The following is a 26,810-nucleotide window of genomic DNA, read 5'->3' on the forward strand; positions in this document are numbered from 1 at the left end:
ATGCTATCGATATTCTTGTCAATGAGAACTTGTCTAGGATTTGCATATTCCCATTCAAATAGAAACTACCACATTTCAGCAGTCGGAGAGAAGGAACTGAGTTGCATGGGCTGGTAGCCTTTCAGAAAACTGTGTAAGGCATATTAGCAATATTGTGGACTATGATAAGCCTGTATATAGTGGTAATACTGATAAAATGTTGTATATATTGTCTTAAAGGAATGCATCAAAAATTTTCTTGTGTAAGTGTTGAAACTGTACATTATGTATTTAAGAGAAAGCAAATTTGAGGCTCAAGTAATAAGAGATCATATGCAGATTTAGGTCTTATAACAACAAAGATGGAAGACTAGAGAAAAAAAATGCTATAACTTCTTGATTTCACTGTTAGTAGGTAATATCCTTAAGTGTTTTCTCCATAACTGCAAATAAATTCGATCTCCACAGGCTGCTTTTTATAAAAAATGCTAATTAATTTGTGTCCTTGTAATTAACTAAGGATCTATCTAAAAACAAATAAAGGTGATGTACCATCTCCCCCACAGCAACAGAAGGATTTTGCTTTGTGTCATAAATCAAGTTCAAAGAATATTCTTTGGTAACATGTTAAATTGCAAACTTTTTTTTTCTTTTGTTTGAGACACAGTCTCACTGTGTCACCCAGGCTGGAGTACAGTGGCACGATCTCGGCTCCCTGCAACCTCCACCTTCTGGGTTCAAGCAATTCTTTTGCCTCAGCCTCCCAAGTATCTGGGATTACAGACATGCACCACCATGCCCAATGAATTTTTGCATTTTTAGTAGAGACAGGGTTTCACCATGTTGGCCAGGCTGGTCTCAATCTCCTGACCTCGGGTGATCCACTTGCCTCAGCCTCCCAAAGTGCTGGGATTACAGGTGTGAGCCACTGTGCCCGGCCATTAAATTGCAAACTTTCACAAGAATTACCCGTCTTGTTCTCTTTGTGAGACAGAGATTCATGTGAATTTGAGTTAATGTTATCTATGCTTTGTCGTCTATTAATGTAAAGTTTTCCAGGAAGTATTATTTGACTAGAGTCATTGTGAAACACGTACTAGAAATTATTATTAAATCCTTTGAAAATAACCTCCACCATAATCTGTACTTTTGATTACTTTTCTTACTGGATACATTTTCTTATTTGATAAATTGTACTTCTGGGCATAATGTTGAGTTGAAGCTGCAATGTGGTAGCTTCTTTTAGGATCATCTCTATATTTCTAAAGTTTAAAAATATTTATCATATTTCTTTATCAGTACAGAAAAGAATTATTGCCAACTTGACTCTGCTGGCACATAATTTGACAACGTGTTCTTCATTTAATTTAGATTTTAGCAAAATCTAGAAGATAGGAATCCTGGCAATTGGGGTTACTTACCTTTAGGACATTTTCCAGCTAAATGGAGGAGTGGTTCTTTTGACAGCTGTAATGTAAAAGGGGTACGAAAGTTGGAGTCCAGGTCCCACTAAGGGAAATGTCCTATTAGCACAACCCCCCACACCCGATACACACTTTTATCTAAATGATAGTACCCCAACTGTAGGGAGAACTAAAAGAAAAGCAGCCCCTCCTCAGACTGCAGCCCAGCTTCCAGTGATCTCGAAGTCTAGTCTCTGAAATCAGATTGAGGTCGCTCAAGACGACAGTGCTAATGGGGACCTGATCAAAACACATGAAAATATTTTCTGGGGAGAGGTATCTCCTAGGGCTCAAATTATGTGAACAATCTTTCAAATAAAATGTCCAACACACACTCATATGTACCCAGGCACATGAGGTGACAAGACAACATGAAGACTGAAAGAAACCATAAGCAATAGACCTAGATCTGTAGGGATTCTGGATATTGGAACTAACAGATCTAGATATTAAAATAACTATGCTTACTATAGCCAAGTAAGCAAACCTAAGATAGAAAATACAGTTGAAAACTGCACAGAAATAACATAGACAATTTAAAAAAAGAAGTACCCAGAAATATTCGAACTTTAAAAACTATAACTGAAACCAAGAATTTAGTAGGTAGGTTTGACATCAGATTTAAAGGAGAATTACTATAAGAGCGGACAGAAAAAAACCCAGAATGAAGCCTGGAGAGACAAACAGATAAAAATTACATAAGAGAGAATAATAAACCCAGAGGATGTGGTGAAGGAAAAAAACTAACATGCATTTTACAGGAGTTCCAGAAAAAAAAAGGAAAGAGGAAGTGGGTCAGAATAAGTATTTGAGGAGCTCATAGCCCAGATCCTCTAAAAAGCAGAGCCTGAGGCAAAAGCTTACATGTATACTTTACTGGTAAGTGTATTCCTACAAGTGCACGAGTGGGGCAAAATTGATGTGAGATAGAGAAGGATGTAGTACAGATGTAGCGTGTGTTACACTAACGTGGGCATACACCCATTGTAAAGTCTATTACCTCGTCTCGCAACCCATCATCAGAAAAGGTATGAGCAACTGTTACTTCAACAATCTGGTTCTGAGGAGGAAGGGAGAGAAAACTGTCCAGGAGTTTTCCCCTCCCATTGGGTAGAACCCACTATATGGCGTGATACCTCCCACACTTCAAGATTGTGTACACGTGAGCGCTGAGTGGGTACCATGGTATGTATCTCATGCCTCAGCCCACCGGGAAAGCCCCAGGGCAGGACATGAAAGCACATAGCAAGTGTGTGAGATAAGCCGCTGGCAGTTTGTGCTCAAGTGTGACAAGGATCAGGGAACAGCCACCACAGAGGGCAGATATGAATTTGTGTCAATAAGGTTAGCGCATGGATCTGGGGTAACACAGAAGTAAATCTTGTACAGACATCAGTCCAACCAATTCCAGAAGCCCTACAAGCCCAAAGCAGGACAGGAAAAGGTTTTCACCTAGGCACATTGGAGTAAAAAGGCTGAAAATCCAAGGAAGACAGAAACTCTTAAAAAGCAGCCAGGGAAGGAGAGCGGGCCGAGGAGAAGCAGTGCGGCGCACGCGCAGTATATGTGGCTAGAGAATTCGTGTGGACGTCAGGGTGGAAGCGGGTGTGAGAGGGTCCAGCAGAAGAAAACATGGCTGCCAAAATGTTTGAGTTCATCGGCAAGTTTGGCCTGGCCTTAGTTGTTGCAGGAGGCGTGGTGAACTCTGCCTTATATAGTGTGGATGCTGGGCACAGAGCTGTCGTCTTTGACCGATTCCGTGGAGTACAGGACATTGTGGTAGGCAAAGGGACTCACTGTCTCATCCCATGGTTACAGAAATCAATATCTTTGACTGCCGTTCTCAGCCACGTAATGTGCCAGTCATCACCGGTAGCAAAGATTTACAGAATGTCAACCTCACACTGCGCATCATCTTCCGGCCCGTAGCTAGCCAGCTTCCTCACATCTTCACCAGCAGCGGAGAGGACCATGATGAGCGTGTGCCGCCGTCCATCACGAACAAGATCCTCAAGTCAGTGGTGGCTCGCTTTGAAGCTGGAGAACTAATCACCCAGAGAGAGCAGATCTCCAGGCAGGTGAGCGATGACCTTACGGAGCCAGCAGCCACCTTTGGGCTCATTCTGGACGACGTGTCCTTGACATATCTGACCTTCGGGAAGGAGTTCATAGAAGCGGTGGAAGCCAAACAGATAGCTCAGCAGGAAGCAGAGAGGGCCAGATTTGTGGTGGAAAAGGCTGAGCAGCAGAAAAAGGCGGCCATCATCTCTGCTGAGGGCGACTCCAAGGTGGCCGAGCTGATCACCAACTCACTGGCCACAGCAGGGGACGCCCTGATCGAGCTGCGCAAGCTGGAAGCTGTGGAGGACATCACCTACCAGCTTTTACGCTCTCGGAACATCACCTACCTGCGGGCAGGGCAGTCCATGCCCCTGCAGCTGCGCTGGTGAGGGCCCACCCTGCCTGCACCTCCGAGGGCCAACTGGGCCACAACCCCGATTATTCTTTTTTTTTTTTTTTTTTTTTTTTGAGACGGAGTCTCGCTCTGTTGCTCGGGCTGGAGTGCAGTGGCGCAATCTCGGCTCACTGCAAGCTCTGCCTCCCGGATTCAAGAGATTCTCCTGCCTCAGCCTCCTGAGTAGCTGGGACTACAGGCCCACGCCACCACGCCCAGCTAATTTTTTGTATTTTTAGGAGAGACGGGGTTTCACCATCTTGGCCAGGCTGGTCTTGAACTCCTGACCTCATGATCCACCCGCCTCAGCCTCCGAAAGTGCTGGAATTACAGGCGTGAGCCAACACACCCGGCCGTCCCGATGATTCTTAACACGGCCTTCCTTCTGCCCCTACATCAGAAATCACTGTGAAATTTCATAATTGGCTTAAACTGAAGGAAATAAAGGTAAAATCACTTCAGATCTCTAATTAGTCTAAAACAAAAATGTCAGCCAGAGGAAAAAAAGACAGATCATCTTAAAAGGAACAACAACTGAAATGATAGCTTACTTCTCAGTAGAAGCAATGGAAGCCAGAAGACAATAACATGGCATTTTCAATGTCCTGAAGGAAAATAACTGCCATAGTGACTTAGCAAGCATCTATAAATAGTGAAAATACTCTTTAGAAATGACGTAGAAATAAGGATTTCAAGAAAAAAATAGAGTGAGAATTCATCCCCAGCAAGCCCATACTACAAGTATTAAAAGGTGTTCAGCTAAAAGGAAAATGAACCCACGCAGAAGGTCAGAAATAGAGGAAGAAAGACGAAGCAATAAAATAATAATTATGCTAGGGTCTTCGTTCATTTGTGCTGGTATAACAGAATATTTCCGACTGGGTAATTTATAAAGAACAGAAATTTATTTCCTCATGCTTGTGGAGGCTGAGAATTTCAAGATCAAGGGGCTGAGAGGCTTCTTGCTGCGCCCTCACATGGCAGAAGACGGAAGGGCAAGAGAGAGTGAACCTACTCCCACAAACCCATTAATCCATTCACCTACTTCTTCCCCAAAAGCCCCACCTCCCAATACTGTTGAATTGAGACTTGAGTTTTCAACACAAATTATCAGGGACACCTTAGAGCATAGCAACTAGTAACTCTAAATAAATAGTTAACTATATAAAACAAAAATAATGTATTGTGCAGTTTAAAATATTTATAGATACAAGACCACAACAGTATATAATTTGGGAGGGAGGTATATGGAGTTACAGGGCTTAAAAGCCTCCTACTGGAAAAGGGTAAAAATACCAGTTGACATTAGACTTTGTCAAGTCTAACGCTTGCTAAAAATCTGCATGCTATAGTCTCTAAGGCAACGACCAAAGGAAGAGTAAAAGCTGTATAATGTCCTAGCAAATAGAGATTAAAAGTAGAATTGTTAAAAATATCAATTATCGGCTGGGCATAGTGGTTCACACCTGTAATCCCAGCACTTTGGGAGGCCGAGACAGGCAGATCACTTGAGGCCAGGAGTTCGAGACCAGCCTGGCCAACATGGTGAAATCCTGTCTCTACTAAAAATACAAAAATTAGCCTGGTATGATGGCAGGTGCCTGTAGTCCCAGCTGCTTCGGAGGCTGAGGCAGGAATCACTTGATCGCACCACCACACTCTAGCCTGGCCAGCAAAGCAAGACTCTGCCAAAAAATAAAAAATAAAGGAAAGAAAAGAAAAAAGATCAATATAAAAGAGACAAGAATGGAGAGAAAAAGGAGCATAGAACAGGCAGAACAAGTGTACATCACATAATAATTTGGTAGATTTAAAACCAAATATATCAATAGTTATAGCAAATGTAAAGCAACTAAATGCTACAATTAAAACACAAAGAATGAGAGGCTAGTTTTAAAAAATAAACCCCATGGAAAGAAAGTTTAGATTTCATCTCCTCCAAGTTATCTATAAAACAAAATATCTATAGCCCCTCAGATTTGGTTTGAATTTATAAACCATAGCAATCTCACTTATCACCAGATCCTAATTCAGAAAATTTTGTTTAGATAGGGTCTCACTATGTTGCCCAGGCTAGACTCAAATTCCTGGGCTCAATCAATCCTCTCACCTCAGCCTCCCAAGAAGTTGACTACAGGCATATGCCACTGCACCTGGCTTCAGGTAATTCTTTTCTTTTCTTTTTTTTTCAGGTAATTCTCTTCTTTTCCTTTGTCTTCAAATGTTAAAGAATCCCTTCATTATTGAGCCAAAAAAATTGTCTTAGACCTACTTTATTGAGACATAGACAATATCTCTCTCTCATTTCATATGACAGTCCATCAGATATAGGAATATGGATACCAATTTTTCTATTTATATATCCCTAGTTTAAAAAAATAATTTTTACATAATCTTCACCATATTTTTATATCATTTATGAAAACAGCTCCTTGTACAGTTGGCTCATTGATCCAGCTTGTTAAGTTATTTTCAGACTTTGCTTCAGTAAGCCATCATATTGTCACTTTCTTCCATTTCGTATCATAGGGAAATGATACAAAAAGCATGCTTTCTATATTTTCATCTTATTCATTGATAAAAACGTTGAATAGAACATATCTGATGACTGTGCTTCAGAGCAGGCTTTGGAGAACTTTTTCTAAATTGACCGTGATCCATGAATCAACATTCTGCAGGTATGCAGTTTTAAACATTAATAAATTTGCCTGTGTAGCCAGTTCACATTTCTCCAACTTGTCCATGAAAGGCCTTGAGACGTCTTGAGTTGGCATAAGAGTCCTTGTTAGATGCCTTGCTTAAATTCAAATACCTGGCTGGGCACAGTGGCTCATGCCTGTAATCCCAGCACTTTGGGAGGCCAAGGTGGGCGGATCACCTGAGGTCGGGAGTTTGAGACCAGCCTGGCCAACATGGTGAAACCCTGTCTCCACAAAAAAATATTAAAAATTAGCCAGATGTGGTGTCATGTGCCTGTAATCCCAGCTACTCAGGAGGCTGAGGCAGGAAAATTGTTTGAACCTGGGAGGCGGAGGTTGCAGTGAGCCGAGATCGTGCCACTGCACTCCAGCCTGGGCGACAGAGTGAGACTCCATCTCAAAAATAAATAAATAAATTCAAATACCTTAGGTCTGCTTATCAAGCTAGATGTGATCTCAGAAGGGAGTGCACATCTCATTTCCATTTGTTTATGGGGACAGAGAGTCAACTATAAATAATATACAAGTCTGCAGACTTAGGTTAGAAAAAGTATGATAATCCAGTGCCTCATGCATCTATGGGCACTGAAGCTGCTAAACATCACTTTTTTTTTTTTTTAAGACAGATTCTAGCTCTGTCACCCAGGCTGGAGTGCAATGGCGCAGTCTTGGCTCACTACAACCTCTGCCTCCCAGGTTCAAGCAATTCTCCTGCCTCAGCCTCCCAAAGTAGCTGGGACTACAGGCACGTGCCACCACACCTGGCTAATTTTTGTATTTTTAGTAGAGACGGGGTTTCACTATGTTGGCCAGGCTGGTCTCAAACTCCTGACCTCGTGATCCTCCCGCCTTGGCCTCCCAAAGTGCTAGGATTATAGGCATGAGCCACTGCGCCTGGCCTAGACATGAATTTTTAAAGAAAATGCCACAATGGAACACACTGGACCTTTGAACCCCTGGAGAAACTCAATGGGTTCCAAAGCATGAATAAGTAAAACTGGTAATAGCCTTTAGAAACTCCAGGGGCCATAGTCAAGGTAGACTGTACTCGAAAAGTTACAAACTGGTTCATCTGAGGCTCAGAGGGCACTGGTCTCAGATAATTTAGATAAAGATGCTCCCTGAACCAGAACTCTGATGTCCTTCTTAGTAAATTGGAATCATGACAGTGGACTTCTTTCCTAGTGGAGCTGCATGAGTTAGGATACTTTCTGCTGTATGTAACAAAAACTGACTCAAACTGGCTTAGACAATAAAGAAGTTCATTATTTCAATAAATCAAACTCCAAGAGGCAGAGCAGGCTTCAGGCTTGGTGGATTCAGTAGCACAATTCTGCCATTGGCAACCCAGGAATATTTTTCATGATTCCAATTTGGGAGAGAAATAGGATTACTAAAATTGATTTAGACTGTTTTCTGGGGATGAATGGATGTTGGTGAGTCAACGACCAACAGAAGAGTTTTTGAATGTTGAATGTAGAATAGCACTCCTAGTTCTAAGCCAGGTTTTCTTTCCTGACTTTTAGGGTAGTGTCAACCCTAAGGGCGATAAGATTAAAGGCAAGGATATAAATTGGCCGACCTAAGAATACACCCAAAGGCATGTAGCTTTACCCCTAGGAACATACCTCTATACAGTCCTATGATCTTCTCCAACACAGTAGTAACACAGTTCTTGAATTCTAAACAGAGGCCTGGGATGCAGGTGGGGAAACCTTTGTTCCATGGATGCAATGTGTATAGAAACTTTTCTTTTCTTCTGGAAGTTTAAGGCAGAAAATCAAGATGGGAAAGACACCCAGGTACCTTTCCAGTTGGAAATCAGCCTAGACTAATTTTAACAAATGGTAAAACATAAACTGAATGATTTTATTGGCTGTTCAATAATGGATTTAGTGAAGAGAAGCTGGAACTAATGAATAAACTAAGGAATGGGATATTGTTTTCATTAACTTATGCTACCTCTACCTTTGATCAGGAAGGTATAAGAGCTAGCTATGTACTATAAGCTATAATATTTTTCTTTATTCCTTAATGATTGAAGTGTTTTTAAAAAGAGGAATTTTTTTTTTTTTTTTTTGGAGACAGGGTCTCACTCTGTCACCGCCAACTGGAGTGCAGTGGTGCTATCTCGGTTCACCGCAACTTCCGCCTCCCAGGCTCAAGAGATTCTCCCGCCTCAGCTGCCCGAGTAGCTGGGATTACAGGCACGTGCCACTACTGCCCAGCTAATTTTTGTATTTTTAGTAGAGATGTGGTTTCACCATGTTGGCCAGGCTGGTCTCGAACTCCTGACCTCAAGTGATCCACCCGCCTCAGCCTCCCAAAGTGCTGGGATTACAGGCATGAGCCACCGTGCCCGGCCAGGGGAATATTTTTGACAGCTCAATTTGTCATATATACTAAATTTACAATGCATGCTAAAAAGAGAAACTATTAACTACCAAACATGAAACTGATTTTTCCCATAGAATGATTTCGATGTTCTTAGATATGTATGTTTGTCTTAGTCATATGTGTTGCTCTTTCAAAGATGAGCATTGAAAAGAGAATTCCATTTCTAGAGTAAGATGAATGTGTAACTTCTATTGACTTCAAGGATTACAATTGCCTCCAGTTGAAGCAATTTTCATTCAAGCCACATATTTTCTGTCTAGTCTCCCTACCTTTGGATAGCATATAAATTTCTAAGAAATAGACAGGGAGAATGATGGATTTGCATGCAAATGTTGGCATTTATTCCAAATTTAGCTATCCCATGCAAGGACACTGTCTGAAGAGCTGATGAAACATATTTGAATAATGAAATCTTGGGTTAGAGAAGGCCACATATCTGATGTTTGCATTGCATTCTGTAAATAACTACAAGTTAATATTGTGCAAATTAACATTTTAAAGCAAATATTTCAATGAAACTTTCAGACTCGCTCGGCCTCCTATGTATTAATTTAGCTGACTATCCCTTAGAGACTATAATTTATTAATTTGTTCAAAAAATTTGATATGCGCCAGGTGCACTGCTTTAGGCATTGCGGGTACGGTAGTGAACAAGATGGGCACAGTCCTAGTCTTTGTGGACATTACATTCTTGGACATAACATTCAGGAAATAACCAATCAATTGAATGAACAAGATAATTTCCAATAGTGATAAGGCAGTGGGACAGGGTGATATAATAGACAGTGAGGTAGGAGTGCAGTATGAGCTGGTCAAAGAAAGTCTTTGAGGAGGTGATATTTGAGCAGAAACTGAAATAATGCAAGGGAGGCAGACATGTGCACAAAAATCTTTATTTACTCCGAGAGAAATAATATATGCAAAAGAACTCTGCAGCACTGGCACAATGCCTTCTTCCTTATAGCTGGTTGGTGCTCCAAAACTTGCTTAGTTGAAAAACTGTCACATTTACAATAAAATACTTAGGCCTGTAGAAATTAATTTGTCATGGAAAAATATGGACAAATTTAGCACCTGCTCCAGGATGCTATAGTCTGACATCTTTATTGAGGGTCACTGAGGATTTAAGGAAGAAGAAGGAATTGCTAACTTCTATTTCCTATTTTACTAGTCAATTTTAATTACTGTAGCCTCATCAGATGCTTTGTGCAAATGTCAGTGTCTTTGCCTGCTTTCTCGTTTGATTTTAAGTTGGGATACAAGTTACTTAACAATAACAAGAGTTGGCAGTAGCTGATCTTTCCCAGGTCTCAGACACACATCCATTTGCAAAACATTTCCATTTGTTCCCACTGTATGTGTGAACTTGGCATAGTCAAAAACAGAAGTACACATGCTATTGTCCAAAATATTTTCTGAATATTCATTATTTACCAGAAGCATTTTCTGAATACTTGTTATTTAACTCCTGAAGTAACAAGGTTGTGAAGAGAAGCAAAATTGATTTAAAAAAAGAGAGAGTGACAAGCTGGGCGCGGTGGCTCATGCCTGTAATCCCAGCACTTTGGGAGGCTGAGGCGGGCAGATCACCTGAGGTCAGGAGTTCGAGACCAGCCTGGCCAACATGGTGAAACCCCGTCTTTACTAAAAATACAAAAATTAGTCGGGAATGGTGGCAGGCGCCTGTAATCCCAGCTACTCAGGAGGCTGAGGCAAGATAATCGCTTGAGCCCGGGAGGAGGAGATTGCAGTGAGCCAAGAACGCGCCATTGCACTCCAGCCTGGGGGACAAGAGCGAGACTTCGTCTCAAAAAAAAAAAAAAAAAAAAAAGAGAGCGAGAAAGAGGAGATACCACATGATCTGGTGTATCTAGGTCAGTTAATAAATGAGGGAAAAAATATAACGAGGATGATTAAGACATGAGAGGAGCTTCAAAAAGGAGCTAACTATCAAAGGATTAAGATAGGCCTCTTGAGAAATCTGATAACGTCTTTAAGTATTTTTGCAAAAATACTTGTGCTGCAAATGTCAGTTATGAAGAACGGCATCTCCTACTATCCTGCAAAAATCAGTACTTGTTTTAGTTTTTATGTATTCTGTGATCTGATGCTTAGTTGAAATTATAACCTCAATTTTATCCAACTAAGGTAAAGTTTTTACATTCCTTAATTTTAAGATTCAAGATAAACTTCCAATTGAAAGTTTTTTTTCACTATTTCTATGAAAGTTTTGTTCCCATTCCAACTTGTCCCACTTCTAAAAGTAGACGGTGCATTTGCATACTTAAAGAATAATAATACCAACTCTGATTTAGGCCTATTGCTCTGTATAACATGCTGGCATTCATTAACCAAGCCAGAAAAATGTCACGATAATGCATCAAGATGGAAATTATGATTAAACCACAGCTAGCTTTTCTTTCTCCTTCAAGGAACTCTCTGGATGAATAGCTGCTTTTCTTTTCTCTTTTTAGAGATAGGGTCTCATTATGACGCCCAGACTGACTCCTGGGCTCAAGGGATTCTCCCACCTCAGCCTCCAGAGTTGCTGGGACTACAGGTACACAACACCACACAGGCTTATGGCAGCTTTTCTATGCCCTAAAGCTCTAAAGCCTAGGCTTTTTCCTTCAATGACCCTATACTCCAAAAGAACGTGGAATGGAAGACACTGGAACTGCTGGTTGTTCCAAAGCAACAAGCTTGCTTTTTTTTTTTTTCTTTTCTTTTTTTTTTTTTTGAGACAGACTCTCACTGTGTTGCCCAGGCTGAAGTGTAGTGGCACTGTCTTGGCTCACTGCAACCTCCACCTGCCTCCTGGGTTCAAGTGATTCTCCCACCTCAGCATCCCCAGTAGTTGGGACTACAGGCATGCACCACCACACCTGGCTAATTTTTTGTATTTTTTAGTAGAGAGGGGATTTCACTATGTTGGCCAGGCTGGTCTTGAACTCCTGACCTCAGGTGATCCACCTACCTCGGCCTCCCAGAGTGCTGAGATTACAGGCGTGAGCCACCGCTCCTGGCCAGCAACCAGCTTTTTATCCCTGGTCCCTGTCACATTCCCTTGGCACTGTTCTGCACTCTAATTTTTTCCTTTCTTATACATACTTGTAGCTGGACCTGTTGGTTTAATTATTATTTTATTATTCCTATGTTCATTTAGTTTATTGACTTTCAATGTTGCTGCTTTGTATATTGTCTAGTTTTTACTGTTTTATCTTATTTTATTATATAAGCAGTTTATTTTATTCTTCCTTTTACTTATCTTTGATTTTAAAATTTTAAAATTATGCTCATCTTTTACCATGTCTTATTTATTTATATCTCTTCTATCTTTTGTTATATGTCTCTTTTTTCTTGTCATTTTAGCTTTTTAGCATTTTGAGGGGACCTACTCAGAACCCCAGAGTTTGTATGAAGATTATTTTAAGCTGAAAATATTTGAAATTCAACAAATGCAAAAAGAAGCATTCTCAGACCTTCCCTTATCTGACTAAAAGCAGCAATTGCTGGGGCTCCCAGAATCCCCTCTCTCTCGGCGGGAGGCTTCTATAAATCCCCTCTCTGGAAGGGAGTTTCATGGCCATGAGGAAAATGAAAGGCCACTTGCACCTGCATAAACCAACATTATCACAAACGTATCCAAGGACACATGGGTAATTAGGGTCAGACTCAAAACCAGTTCCCTTAACACTGCCTACCCTGAGGCTACCCCTGTTCCACACTTCAATTCCATTTCCCAGTCTTGGGTGAGGAGCTGCACTGTGGACATCACCACAAGAACCTGGTCCAGCCTGGAGCCACAGGCAAGAGCAGAGTGCTTCATGGTTTCTTTCCCACTCCCACCAGCTTCAAGAACACCCAAGGTGGGTGGGGCATCATTGTCATTTTCAACTAGAAGTGGACTTAATTCTCTCCAGCTTCAAAACATACCCAGCTTGAAAATCTGCTCCCTGAGGTTTGTTCCCATCGGGTACACCCACCCATCCAACCCTAGTAGAAGGGTAGGACCAGGGACATGGGGAGGGTGATAATTTGGCAGTTTTTGTCTCTCTTTTCCCATTGTCTTATAGCTGAAATATTTTTTTGGAGGCCCCAGGAAGTGGCTGAAAAAGAACTGGATTATTGCCTCTAAGGCCACTAAGTAGTGTTAAAACTCTGAGTAAGGTACTTCAGCTGGGTGCGGTGGCTCATGTCTGTAATCCCAGCACTTTGGGAGGCCAAGGTGGGTGGATCACTTGAGGTCAGGAGTTCAAGACCAGCTTGGCCAACATGGTGAAATTCTGTCTCTACTAAAAATACAAAAATTAGCCAGGCATATGGTGGCGTGTGCCTGTAATCCCAGCTACCTGGGAGGCTAAGGCAGGAGAATTGCTTGAACCCAGGAGGTGGAGGTTGCAGTGAACCAAGATGGCGCCATTGCACTCCAGCCTGGGTGACAGAGTGAGACTCCATCTCAAAAAAAAAAAAAGATTCTTCAAAGAAGGTAGAGAAGTATGTCCAACAGGAAATGCTGGGATCTCATGTCATCGCTTCCCTAACACGACTTTCACCAACTGCTTCCCCTTCCATCATCTGTTTTTGAGTTTTTCTCCACGTGCAACCTTCCCAGTTTCCTCCTCTAGCAGCAGTGGTGAGAAGAGCTGGGCTGCAGATGAACTCTCCACCCCAGGAGGGTTTTACCATGGAAGGAGCTGCTTTTCTAGCTTTCTCCTACACATAACACACAGATCTCTCATTATCCAATTAGGGCCTATTTGGGACCCCACACTCCAGTATGAATAAAGCATTGTTCTCTCTCCATGTATTTAAAAAAAAATCCTTTATCCAATCCAATAAGAATCAAAGAATCCTTTGATTCTTTCTGGATTTACTGAAGGAAAAAAGAGTGGCAGAGATAAACCTTGGCCAGTCATGCTAATGTCACTTAATTTGACATTTGATACCTGAGATCTTGTGACTCTGTAATAGTAAGTAATATGCTTCTTCTGATCTCGGCTCAATTCCCCAATGAATGAAAATGCTGTCAGTATTTATATCCTTCTGCTGAAGTACATACAGATTTTTAGGCATCAGACCTTGATTTAAGAGTCTTTTAAGCTCTATTTTACAGGAGAAGACCTGGTAGGAGTAAAAATAAGTACATGAAAGCCAGAATGCCTGGTTGAAAATTTCTCCTCTCAATTTAGGTCCTGTTACTTAATCTCTATAAAATGGAGATAATGACACTTAATTCCGTGAATCTTAAATAAATATATGTAAAATGTCTGACCTTCAACAAGCTTTAGGCTATTAAATGATTTTCACTCCTAAAATCAAATGAATTCTTGTTTTGATGATTCTATTGCCAAGACTGCAGCCACAAAAATTCTAAATTATAAGAATTATCTCCATAGGCCAGGCACGGCGGCTCACACCTGTAATCCTAGCACTTTGGGAGGCCGAGGCGGGTGGATCACTTGAAGTCAGGAGTTTGAGACCAGCCTGGCCAACATGGGGAAATCCCGTCTGTACTAAAAATACAAAAATTAGCCAGGAAAGGTAGGGCACGCCTGTCATCCCAGCTGCTAGGGAGGCTGAGGCAGGAGAATGCTTGAACCCAGAGGGCAGAGGGTGCGGTGAGCCCAGCACCCAGATTGCATGACTGCACTGCGGCCTGGGAGACAAAGTAAGACACTGTCTCAAAAAAAAAAAAAAAAAGAATTACCTCCATGGGAGTCATCTGTAAGTGATATGATAGATATATAAATTCCTGAAGAAACTAACCAGCCAATTTTATTTATAATCTTTGTATCGAGTCTACATGCCCCTCAATCAACCACTCCATTTCTCTGTTTCTTTATAGCAAAATTCCTCCAAGGGCTACCTCTACTCATTAATTCTGTTCTTTCTTGACATCTTTTGTCTGTTTTGGAACTTTCTTGGCTATGGTCTAGTTTGCTTCTTCCTCTTCACTCTTTCCTTCATCTGGACCATGAGAAAGGGGTTTTGATCTGACAGTCTTCCCCTAGAATGCTACTTCCTAAGTCCCAGACTGGGATGGAGAAGGTGGTTGTTGTCAAACTATTAGGGCTTGTGAAAACACAAATCGCTGGCCCCACTCCCAGAGTTTCTGATTCAGTATAGCTGAGGTGGGGCCCCAATTTCTAACAAGTTCCTAGGTGAGACTGATGATACTGGAATATATTTTGAGGACCACTAGAATAAGGAGTTCAGGACTCTCTTGCTCTCACAATGAGTTAAATTCTCCAACCTAGCTTTACCAATAACACAGATGTCATTTTGATGTTTCATCTGCTGCTTCTACCATTTTATACCTGAAATGATTCACAATTCAGGCAAGAAAGAGAGGTGCTGTATATTGAACTCCTCAAAAGCCCAACAGCTGACATTTATTACTTACCATGTGCCGTTTGATGTCCTAAGCGTTTTATGTAGTCTATCTCATTTAGTCCTCACCAAAGCCCTAATATCATTTCACCTTTCAGTAAGGAAATTAAGATACTACTGGGGGTGGTAGCTCATACCTGTAATCCCAGCATTTTTGGAGGTTGAGATGGGAGTATCACTTGAACCCAAGAGTTTGAGACCAGCCTGGACAACATAAGGAGACCCCATTGCTACAGAAAAAAAAAAAAATAATACCTGGGCATAGTACCATGCATCTGTAGTCCCAGATACTTGGGAGACTGATATGGGAGGATCACTTGAGCCCAGGAGGTCGAGGCTACAATGAGCCGTGATCATGCCACTGTACTCCAACCTGGGCAGGAGAGTCTCAAAAAAAGAAATTAAGACACCAAAATATTAAACAATTTTCCAGGCCACTCAGTTCTGGAGACATAATTCGAATCAAGGGAATATGATGTCAAGGCTGCGGTTTTAACCCCTAGGATATGCTATCTTGTGTGTGGGAATATGAAAGTCACCTGAGTACGTATCTATGTTCAGTATAGCCACCATCTTCCCATGCAATGATTCATGACCTGTGTTTACCCTTGTTAATGTGGCATAAACTGCTCTCCCAAGGCCGTCACAGTCAACTATAGAAGTAGCTACAAATAATGTTACTGCCACAGTCTAAACTCCTCTAAGTTGAGCAAATTCAGAACAAATATCAGAAAAGCAATTTATATTTTTAGACTTATTAATAAGGTGTTAAATTTCTCATTCTACAAACATTTATTGAACACTACAATTTGCCACGCAGTTGGGGGATTTCACTGCACCTAATAAACAGCACACTTCCCCCACCCCCAAAGTTTCGAATCAATTGAGAAATAGGCAATATATTAGTTTGCTAGGGCTGCTGTAATTGAGACATAAAGAAGGAAGAAAATGTGACAGTTAATAAAAGTGGACTCAGAGATGGAAAAGATGTTGGAACTAGCAGACAAGGACTTTAAAATAACAATAGTATATATGTTTAAAAGATTGGGGTGCAGGGAGGTAGACAATATGTAGGCAGGGAATTTCATTCCAGGAATGGAAACTACAGAAAAGATGCAATGGAAATGCTAGGACTGAAAAAGTACAATATTAGAAATGAAGATTTCATCAGTTGGGCTTAATGGCCAACTTGACAAGAGTGGAAGAAATGATCAGGGAATTTGAATACAAAGTGTCTAAAATGAAATGTAAAGAGAAAAATGAATGGAAAAACCGAACAAATCTTTGAGACTTATAGGTAATAATCAAATCAACTAATAGATGTGTAATTGGAGCCTAAGAGGAACAGGAAAGGGAGAGTGGGGAAGGAAAAATACCTGAAGAAATAATGGCCAAGAATTTTGCAAAATTGATGGGGGATTGAGGGTGGTGGTGGCAACTCACAGATCCCAAATCTTAAACAGGGGAATAATAACAAAATTTTTGGCTGACTTCTCATCAGAAAGAATGGAGATGAGCAAACAATGGAACAGCATCTTTAAAATGCTGAAAGAAAAAAAAAGGCTGAACCTAGAAGTCTATATACAGTGAAAATATCCTTCAAAAAATTAAGGCCAATTAGATACATTTATAAACAAAAATGGAAAGAATTTATCCCCAGACCAGTGCCATAAGACATGCTAGGGGAAGGGGAAGTCTTTCGGTTGAAGGACAATGTAGTCAGATGGAAGATCAAATCTGCAATAAGGAATGAAGGATAACAGAAAAAGTAAATTAGTACATAAACATTTTAAAAACCTTTTAATTTTTTTTTTTTTTTTTTGGGACAGAGTTTCGTTCTTGTCGCCCAGGCTAGAGTGCAGTGGCACAATCTCGGCTCACTGGAACCTCTGCCTCCTGGGAAAAAGCTTTTAATTTTGTATTTAACCGTATCACACATTTTTTCATTTCTAGAAAAGACGATTGATTTTTAAAGTAAAAATATGAACATATCAATATATCATGGGGGCTTTTAACATACAATGTATTGTGGGGTTTATAATACATGACAATAAGAGGATGAAGGATGAGGAGGAGGAAAATTAAATTATACAATTGTAAGGTTCTTACATTGTTTGTGGTCATTTAATATTATTTTAGGCTGGGCGTGGTGGCTCATGCCTGTAATTCCAGCTACTCCAGAGGCTGAGGCACAAGAATCACTCGAACTCAGGAGATGGAGGTTGCAGTGAGACGAGATCGTGCCACTGCACTCCAGCCTGGGCAACAGAGTGAGACTCTGCCTCAAAAAAAAAAAAAAAGAAATATATTATTTAAAGGTAAACATAAGTTAAAGATGCATACCATAATCTCTAAAGCAATTATTATAAAAATAAAAATATATATTTATAGATGACCCTTGAACAATTCAAAAATTAGGGGTGCCAACCCCTGTGCAGTAAAAAATCTGCACATAACTTTTGACTCCCCCAAAACTCAACTACTAATAGCCTACTGTTGACTGGAAGCCTTACCATTAACATAAATAGTTGATTAACACATAGACTAGTGTGCATTTGTGAGACACTTTTTCTGAATTTTTTTGGTATTTCTAGGCTATATAGTTTGTCTACAAGTTTTTTCAAATTGTTGCAAATCTCCAAAAATTTTTCCAACAAATTTATTTTTAAAAATCCACATATAAGTGGACCCATGCAGCCCAAACCCGCATTGTTCAAGGGTCAACTATACATATACATGAAGTGGAGGTGACAAATGGAATTCTAAAAACAAAAACTGATTAACTCAAAAGAAGACAGGAAAAAATAAAAAAGAGAAGAACAAGGAACACATGAGACAAACAGAAAACAAATAGCAATGGTAGACTTAAGCCCAACCACATTCATAGTTACATTGAATGTAAAAGCTGAACACTCCAATTATAAGATAAAGATGAACAGACTGGATTTTTAAAAATGTACTAACATTGTCAGGATGCAGTGGCTCACATCTATAATCCTAGCATTTTGGGAGACTGAGTTGGGAGGATTACTTGAGGCCAGAAGTTTGGGACTAGCCTGGGCAGCATAGTGAAACAGAAACTAAATCCAGGATATGAAAACCACCAGACTATATTTTCATAAACACATCAATCCAATTCTTAGGTATTACTCAAGAGAAATGAAAACTTATGTCCACAAACTACTGTACAATAATGTTTGTAGCTGGCTTATTCATAATAGCTAACAACTGGGGAAAAAAAAATCCTAAATGTCCACCAAAAGGAGAAAGGATAAAGAAATTGTGGTATAGTCAAACAATGGAACACTACTTATCAGTAAGAAAGGACTGAACTACTGGCACATGCAGAAACCTGGATGAATCTCAAAAACATGCTGAGTAAAAGAAGCCAAACACGAAAGGGTGTATACTAAGATGATTCCTGTATATGAAGTCCTGGCAGAGGCAAATGTAATTTACTGTGATAGACATCTGAACCTACTACTTCTGGGAGTAGGCAGGAATTGACTGAAGGAGGCACACAGGAACTCTCTGGGGTGATCGGAATATTTTGTGTGTTAATATGGGTATGGGTGGCATGTAATGTTAATTGTATTACTGTGGACAATCTAACCCTGGACTCATGTCACTTGTCAGTGGGCTCAACAGTTATCCTGTCTGGATTGGTTAATTATGGATAAGTAAGTTGACTGCCATACCAGTTTGCCTCAGATAGTCCTAATTTTCATCAACTGTCCTTGTAATAATTATGAAGTGAGTGCCTTTCATTCTCAAACATGTCTTAGTTTGGATGATAAATCATGTGGTCATCTTAAGAAATCACTTAAGATTTCTTTCTTAGAAATCTTAAGTTATTTCTTGCTCTTACATGATATCAGCAGAAAAAATAGATACTGTGGCTCCTGCCTAAAAAGGCCCATTTTTTAGAGAGAATAGACACCGTGTCACTAAATTCAGTACTGAAACTCCCAGGAGACATGGATTTTAAGAAGTTTTGAAATTACTTGGTGAGAAATGTACCTCAAATATGACCTGGAAATAGGGACTGCCTCTATTGCAGATTTTTAACTTTACAAAAAAAGCAAAAGGTCTCAAATGTCTTTGTGAAAGGAGAAAAAAATCCATTGGTAGATTATACTTTCAGGTTTTTTCAGTTTTCATTACTGCAAACTTAAGCAGTGGTTCTCAATCACTCAATTGTAGTCAACACCTCAACGTACTCAATGGAAAAGGCAAGGGAACAGATTCTCCCCTGGAGCCTCCAGCAGGAGTGTGGCCCTGCAGACACCTTGATTTTTTAGCCTCATAACACTTACTTTGACTTCTGGCCTCCAAATGGTAAGAGAATAAATTTCTATTGTTTTAATAATAGCTTTGTGTTAAGGTATTAACAGTAGTAATGGGAAACCAATACAAAGCAAATGTAAAAAGTTCAAATAAAAGTTGAAGAGGGCAACAGAAGAGACAGATATCAGAAAGAATGAGTTCATATTTGTGATCACTTTATGAGAACATCAAAAGAGCAAACTATAGAGCTGAGAAGACAGAAGATCCGCCCTGGCTTATCCCTCTAATATGGTTTGGCTGTGTCCACACCCAAATATCATCTTGAATTGTAGCTCCCATAATTCCTGTGTGTTGTGAGAGGGACCTGGTGAGAGTTAACTGAATCATGGGGCCGTTTCCCCCATACTGTTCTCATGGTGGTGAATAAGTCTCACGAGATCTCATGGTTTTATAAGGGGAAACCCCTTTTGCTTGGTTCTCATTTTCCCTCTTTGCCTGCAGCCATGTAAGACATTCCTTTCGCCTTCTGCCACAATTGTGAGGCCTCCCCAGCCACATGGAACTGTGAGTCCATATTAAACCTCTTTTTCTTTAAAAATTACTCAGTCTCAGGTATGCCTTTATCAGCAGTGTGGAAATGGACTAATACACCCTCCCTCTCGCTATTATGTGAAACCTCATTTCACTTAAAAATGAGCAAAAGATCCATCAACAGATGGATAAACAAAATGTGGTATAGCTGCTATGCAATGAAATATCATTAAAGGAACGAAGGACTGATACATGGATACTACAACATGGATGAACCACAAAAACATTATGCTAAGTGAAAGAAGCCAGACACAGAAAAATCACATAACGTATGATTCCATTTATGTGACATATCCAGAATATTCACAGAAATAGAAAGCAGATTGGTGGTTGCTAGGAGTTGTGGGAGTAACTCTGGAGACAGAGTTTCTTCTGGGGTTAATGAAAATGTTTTGGAACTGGATAGATGTGGTAGTTGAACGACATTGTGAATATACTAAATGCCACTGAATTGTTCACTTTAAAATGATTGATTTTGTATTATGTGAATTTCACCTAAATCAAAATAGTCCACTGCAAATATTGAAGAATATGCAACAAACTTAGAAACTATTTCAGTGATCCCTCCTGAGAAACCTGGGGGTTAATGAGCTTCAGACAAAGAAAAAGAAGGGAAACATTGAAATAAAGCCTGTGGTGAGGTTTAAGTGTGCCCTTTCTGTAGAACTATTAATAAAACAAAATGACGCAGCCAGGTGCAGTGGCTCATACCTGTAATCTCAGCACTTTGGGAGGCCGAGGCGGGCAGATCACCTGAGGTCAGGAGTTTGAGACCAGCCTAGCCAACATGGCGAAACCTCGTCTCTACTAAAAATACAAAAATTAGCCGGGCATGGTGGTGCACACCTGTAGTCCCAGCTACTCGGGAGGCTGAGGCAGGAGAATCCCTTGAACCCAGGAGGTGGAGGTTGCAGTGACCCGAGATCACATCACTGTACTCCAGCCTGGGCAACAGAGCAAGACTCCGTCTGAAAAAAAAAAAAAAAAGATGCTTATAAGAGAAACGGTGTAATGTGTAATATATAGTAGCAACGTGCTCTGAAAATACAGACAATACAACTCTTCAAAATGAGCAGAAGCCGGCCACGGTGGCTCATGCCTGTAACCCCAGCACTTTGGAAGGCCAAGGCAGCAGATCACTTGAGGTCAGGAGTTCAAGACTAGCTTGGCCAACATGGAGAAACCCCATCTCTACTAAAAATACAAAATTTAAGTGGGTGTGGTGGCAGGGGGCTGTAATCCCAGCTACTCAGGAGGCTGAGGCAGGAGAATCGCTTGAACCCAGGAGGCAGAGGTTGCAGTGAGCCGAGTTGGCGCCACTGCACTCCAGCCTAGGCAGCAGAGCAAAAGTCCATCTCTGAAAAAAAAAAAAAAAAACTGAGCAGAGAATGCAGAACCTACATGGAAAATAAACCAAGTCATTGATTATATTATTGGTATTAACATTTTTAAAAGGTCATAGCATAGGGGTTTGCTGTTTGGAGAAAATATGTGGGACCTTGTCAGTGTCCAGTTAGAGGTGACATGGACTCTAGGTGTCCACTAAGATTCTTTAGATATTCTTGTGTGATCTTAAAAATTGCAGTTTAAACTGGACTTACGTGTTGTGTGGATACTGCAGATTGCCTGATTCAACAGCTCGATCACTCTACTCCCTGAGTGCTTTCCATATGGAAGCTGGAAGCGAGGCTGTCTTTTATTCATTCCCAACAATTGCTGGTCACCCCTAACAACGCTGCAATGAACATCCTTGTACATATCCCCTTTGGGACCCGTGTGCATGTTCCTCTGGGTGTACTCAATATGGATTGTTTGGTCGTAGTAGACATAGTACACATATACAAATAAGTACTCTCAGGCTACTCTCCAAAATGGGTGTGGCTGTATGACGCTCCCTGCAGAGTAGGAGGGTTCCATTTTCCTACATTCGCACCAATATTTAGCATTATCTGATATTCTAAGTTTTTCTGATCTGATGGGTGTAAAACTTAGAATATCAGATAATGCAAAATATTCGTGAAATATTTAGGGAAACTAGAAAAACTTGATTCAAAGAATGTAATCAGAAAACACCTTTCTTTCTTTCTTTCTTTCTGTCTTTCTTTCTTTCTTTCTTTCTTTCTTTCTTTCTTTCTTTCTTTCTTTCTTTCTTTCCTTCCTTCCTTCCTTCCTTCCTCCCTCTCCCCTCTCTCTCTCTTCCTTCTTTCCTTCTCTTTCTTTCTCTAATTCTTTCTTGACTTCTGCTCCCTTTAAATTTATTTAGTGGGAAAGTACCTTCTGTTCCAACTTGAAAATGTACGCATTCCCATGACATTTCTCTTACTTTCAGGAAATAAAAATATCTTGGTGACATTGAACAAAAACACAGTCTTATTTCAGTAACTAAAAGTACACTATGTTAAGTTATTATAAAATCTTTGCATTTAAATTAAGTTAAAATCTTTCTCCTTCCCTTGATGGAACCTTCTACAGGCAGGAACCAGGGGAGGGACTGTGATGTTTCTTTTCTCTATGCTCACCTTCCACTCCATCTATGTTGCTAAGTATGATTTCCTCTAAGAATGGGGAGGCAGAGGAGGTAAAAAGCGTTAGGAACATGATGACTGGTATTGTAAGATGGTGTTCTCTGGACCTAATAAGTGTTTAGAGCTGATAATGTTTGGGGTGGGAGTATTCAGAGGATTCTGTTGGGAATGCTCAATGGTGTTTTCCTGATAGGGGAACTGGAGTTTCCTCTGACTTGCTGCTCCCCTCTTAGCCCCTAGTCCTTTGACTGACTCTACTCGGGAGGCACTCACAGACTTTTTCTGTTAAGATCCTGTGGCTCCCCCAGGCAGCCCTTCTTGGGACTTAAAAGGCACCAGATTAGCTCTTTCTCCTTAGTGGTCATTTTGCAAAGGTAGCATGAATACATGCACTCCATCAATGCCACATGGTACAAATATAAAATAACATTTATTGGGAGAAATGGATAAGCAGAAATGTGCATAGTTGACAGTTCCTACTGTCATGAGTCCTCCAGGAATGATGCTTGGACTGATTGTGGGTGGGCTGGACTCAGTGGGGCCATGGTCCCATAATGAAGAGCTCTACTTCCACCTACATTCCATATTCGTAGGAAAATAGAGACAAGGATCATCTACGTGCCTTTGTAGTGATGGACAACCTCTGATTGCAAACAGGCTTTATTAGAAAGAAGCAACTTCTGAGATCAGTTTTCATGTTTTAGCCTGTTTTCCTATTGAGTGAACTCAGATCTGGTGAGCCAGCTCTTTACCAGGCTACTGAAAGGACACAGGGAATCAGCCTCCAGGGCTGCCCTGAGCAGTCGGCATAGGCATCCATTGCCCTGACCAACTGGAAGTACAGGCCCATCCCAAAGCAGCTAACTTCTTGCTTTCCAGCACTGGAGTAGTTAGTGAGTCTACCTCTGCCTTCACAATTTTCCAGTGGTCAGATACCAGTCCACTGTGTCTCCCTGGCTAGTAGAATGAATATAAAACTCTCTAAGTAGTACTGCTGAAGCCTCTCTCTCTTAACTAAGGTGAAGGGGCAGATATTCTCTCTCTCTCCATTCTAGGAATGAGAGTCAAAGAACAACTGTTTCCAAAGAAACCTTCCTAACAAATTCTCTTTTGACTCTTTTATAGCCTCAATATGAGGGTGATTTTGAACACCTACTTAGAAATTTTTGAATAGTGGAATAATGAATTCTTTGAAATAAAATCTTTGTTTTTTCTTCATAGAAACTGAGCATGGGATATTTATAAAGACTTTGACAGTTGGTTCTCAACTTTGGCTGGATATGAGAATCACTGGAGAAGCCTATGCCTTGCCTGCATCCTGAGCAGTTAAATCAGAGTCTCTGGAGGTGGGCTCTCTAGGTGATTCTAATCTACAGTCAAGGTTGAGAACCACTGCTTATGTAGAAACAAAGGCTTTGAAAGCAGAAACAATTACATTGGGTGATTAAACGTAATTTCCAGGCCGGGCGCGGTGGCTCACGCCTATAATCCCAGCACTTTGGGAGGCCGAAGCAGGTGGATCACAAGGTCAGGAGATCAAGACCATCCTGGCTAACACGGTGAAACCTTGCTCTACTAAAAATATAAAAAATTAGCCGGGTGTGGTGGCACGTGCCTGTAGTCCCAGGTACTCAGGAGGCTGAGGCAGGAGAATCACTTGAACCCAGGAGGTGGAGGTTGCAGTGAGCCGAGATCGCACCACTGCACTTCAGCCTGGGTGACAGAGCGAGACTCCGTCTCAAAAAAAAACCAAAAAACACACACACGCACACACACACAAAACATAATTTCTGCCAGTTTCGCCTCTTGATTATGGATCTATTCAGTTCATGTGGTGTATGCCTCTTTTTTTTTTTTTAACGATATCAAGTCTTACTCTGTCACCCAGGCTGGAGTTTCAGGGTGCGATCACGGCTCACTGCAGCCTCAACCTCCTGGGCTCAAGCGATGCTCCCATCTCAGTTTCACAAGTAGTCGGGACTACATATTTGTGCCACCATGCCCCAAATAATTTTTGTATTTTTTGTAGAGACAGGGTTTTGCCATGTTGCCCAGACTGGTCTCGAACTCCTGTGCTCAAGCAATCTGCTTGCCTCGACCTCCCAAAGTGCTGAGATTATAGGTGTGAGCCACTTTGCCTGATCTTGTGCATGGCTTTTAAAAGCAGGCAACCCAGTGCCATTCCAATTTGCATTTGGTGCTCAGGAATAGGCTGCAGTTAGCAGTGTTTCCAGGAGTTGTCCAGAATACATATTTTACTTTCTTTTTGTGTTTTTCTGTTTTCTTTTGTCTGCTAAGTTTTGTGGCTGAATTTTCGAGTTGTGCTTTCCACCTCTTTCTTTGGGGGAACTCTTTATACCTCTGTCTGACACAGTACATTTTGTCCCCTTATCCACTTGCTGTTGTGGACATCAGTGAGTGCACCCACAGCCTCAGGTAGGTGACTATTTATTTATTTATATTATTATTATTGTTTTTTGAGACAGGGTCTTGCTCTGTTGCCCAGGCTGGAGTGTAGTGGCACAATCTCAGCTCACTGCAACCTCCACTTCCCAGGTTCAAGCGATTCTCATGGCTCAGCCTCACAAGTAACTGGGATTACAGGCACCTGCCACTATGCCTGGCTAATTTTTGTATTTTTAGTAGAGACAGGGTTTTGCCATGTTAGCCAGGCTGGTCTCGAACTCCTGACCTCAAGTGATCCGCCCACCCTGGCCTGCCAATGTGCTAGGATTACAGGCATGAGCCACTGCGCCTGGCCAAGGGATTCTTTAAAATTCCACCAGCAGCTATAATCTCTCGCTTCCCCTTTCCCATACAATCAGCTCCAAGTGCTAAGATTTAGGCATCTATTATGTGCCAGACATTGTTAAAATAAATTCTTTATATTTCAAGCTTTCTATATATGATCTTATTTCATCTTTCCAATTATGCTAAAAAATGGGTGCTATTATTATCTTCCCCATATTATTACCTTTCCCTAAATGGAAGAAACTGAAATTCTTTCCATTTCAGTCACACCTCAAAATAAGGAAAGAGACTCCGTGGTTCCTGGTTATAAATGACAGAAACTGACCCTTGCTGATGTAAGAAGGGAGCACATTTATTAAAAATGTCTTGGGTTTGGATGTAAATGTCTTCTTGGTGTCAAAATTCTATTGATTTTATAGCTCATCTTTATCCTATTTGAGTTTTCTAATAAATTTAAAGTTGACAAAAGACAGAAATTCTTTACATTTTTGCTTCTACAAGACTATGAACCTGTTAAAAACCAATTATGTCCCTTTTTTCTAAGTAGCTAATGTAGGGTCTTGAATATGTTGTGTACTGATTAAATGTGTGACTCGTTGAGGTATAGGTGGATTCTGCCTTCTAGCATAGGGCTGAGGTGTGGTCTGAAGCAAGCCATTGCCTAGCAGCTTGTTAGAAGTGTAAAGTCATGGGCCTCACCCTGGACCTGCTGAATCAGGATCTGGGGAAGAAGGAGCAGGACATATTAACAAGCCATTCAGGTGATTCTGATGCACTCTTGGGTTTGAAAAGCTCTGCTTTCATGGCTCCTAGTCCAGTAGACCCATGGAAAAATTAATTTATAAACAAATATTCACTATTTAATCTAAAAGCCATAGTAATAAGTAATGCCTCTTTACTAAAATGTAAGAGGTATGAGTTCACCTTAAAACTGTGATGTCTTTCTCATCTTCTCCTGCCCTAAGCTACTTCATTCCTTCCTTTTTCATTTGTGTGCTGTTCAGAAATCAAGGTAGAAGTCAAGTGATGTTTGCTGTTTTGTGTGACACACCAAGTCACACCCGATCCACACTGATCAGGATAGGAAATTGTTTCTTCCATCTAGTGACTTGAAAGAGAAGGGAGCATCAGTTTGAGTGAATGTGTGTCAGCCTAGAGAGATAGATAGAGCATCTATCTCTCTGTATCTATCTATCTATCATCTATCTGTCTGTCTGTCCGTCTGTCTATCTATCTACCTATCTATCTATTGATCGAACTCACTCATTAC

General features: G+C 40.8%; 1 pseudogene, besides 1 other annotated feature; it reads left to right on the plus strand.

Annotated features, from left to right (window-relative positions):
- Window positions 2,428-3,627: an enhancer, noted in NCBI's record as "BRD4-independent group 4 enhancer chr9:88513172-88514371 (GRCh37/hg19 assembly coordinates)". NCBI's record gives its function as "activates an origin of replication core promoter dependent on BRD2, P300/CBP, MED14 and CDK7 cofactors, and independent of BRD4, by STARR-seq in HCT116 cells {active_cell/tissue: HCT116}" and the evidence as "EXISTENCE:reporter gene assay evidence [ECO:0000049][PMID:35650434]".
- Window positions 3,000-4,385, plus strand: PHB1P7 (PHB1 pseudogene 7; annotated as a pseudogene).

Source organism: Homo sapiens, chromosome 9 (assembly GCF_000001405.40).
Source record: "Homo sapiens chromosome 9, GRCh38.p14 Primary Assembly".
Taxonomy (NCBI): domain Eukaryota; kingdom Metazoa; phylum Chordata; class Mammalia; order Primates; family Hominidae; genus Homo; species Homo sapiens.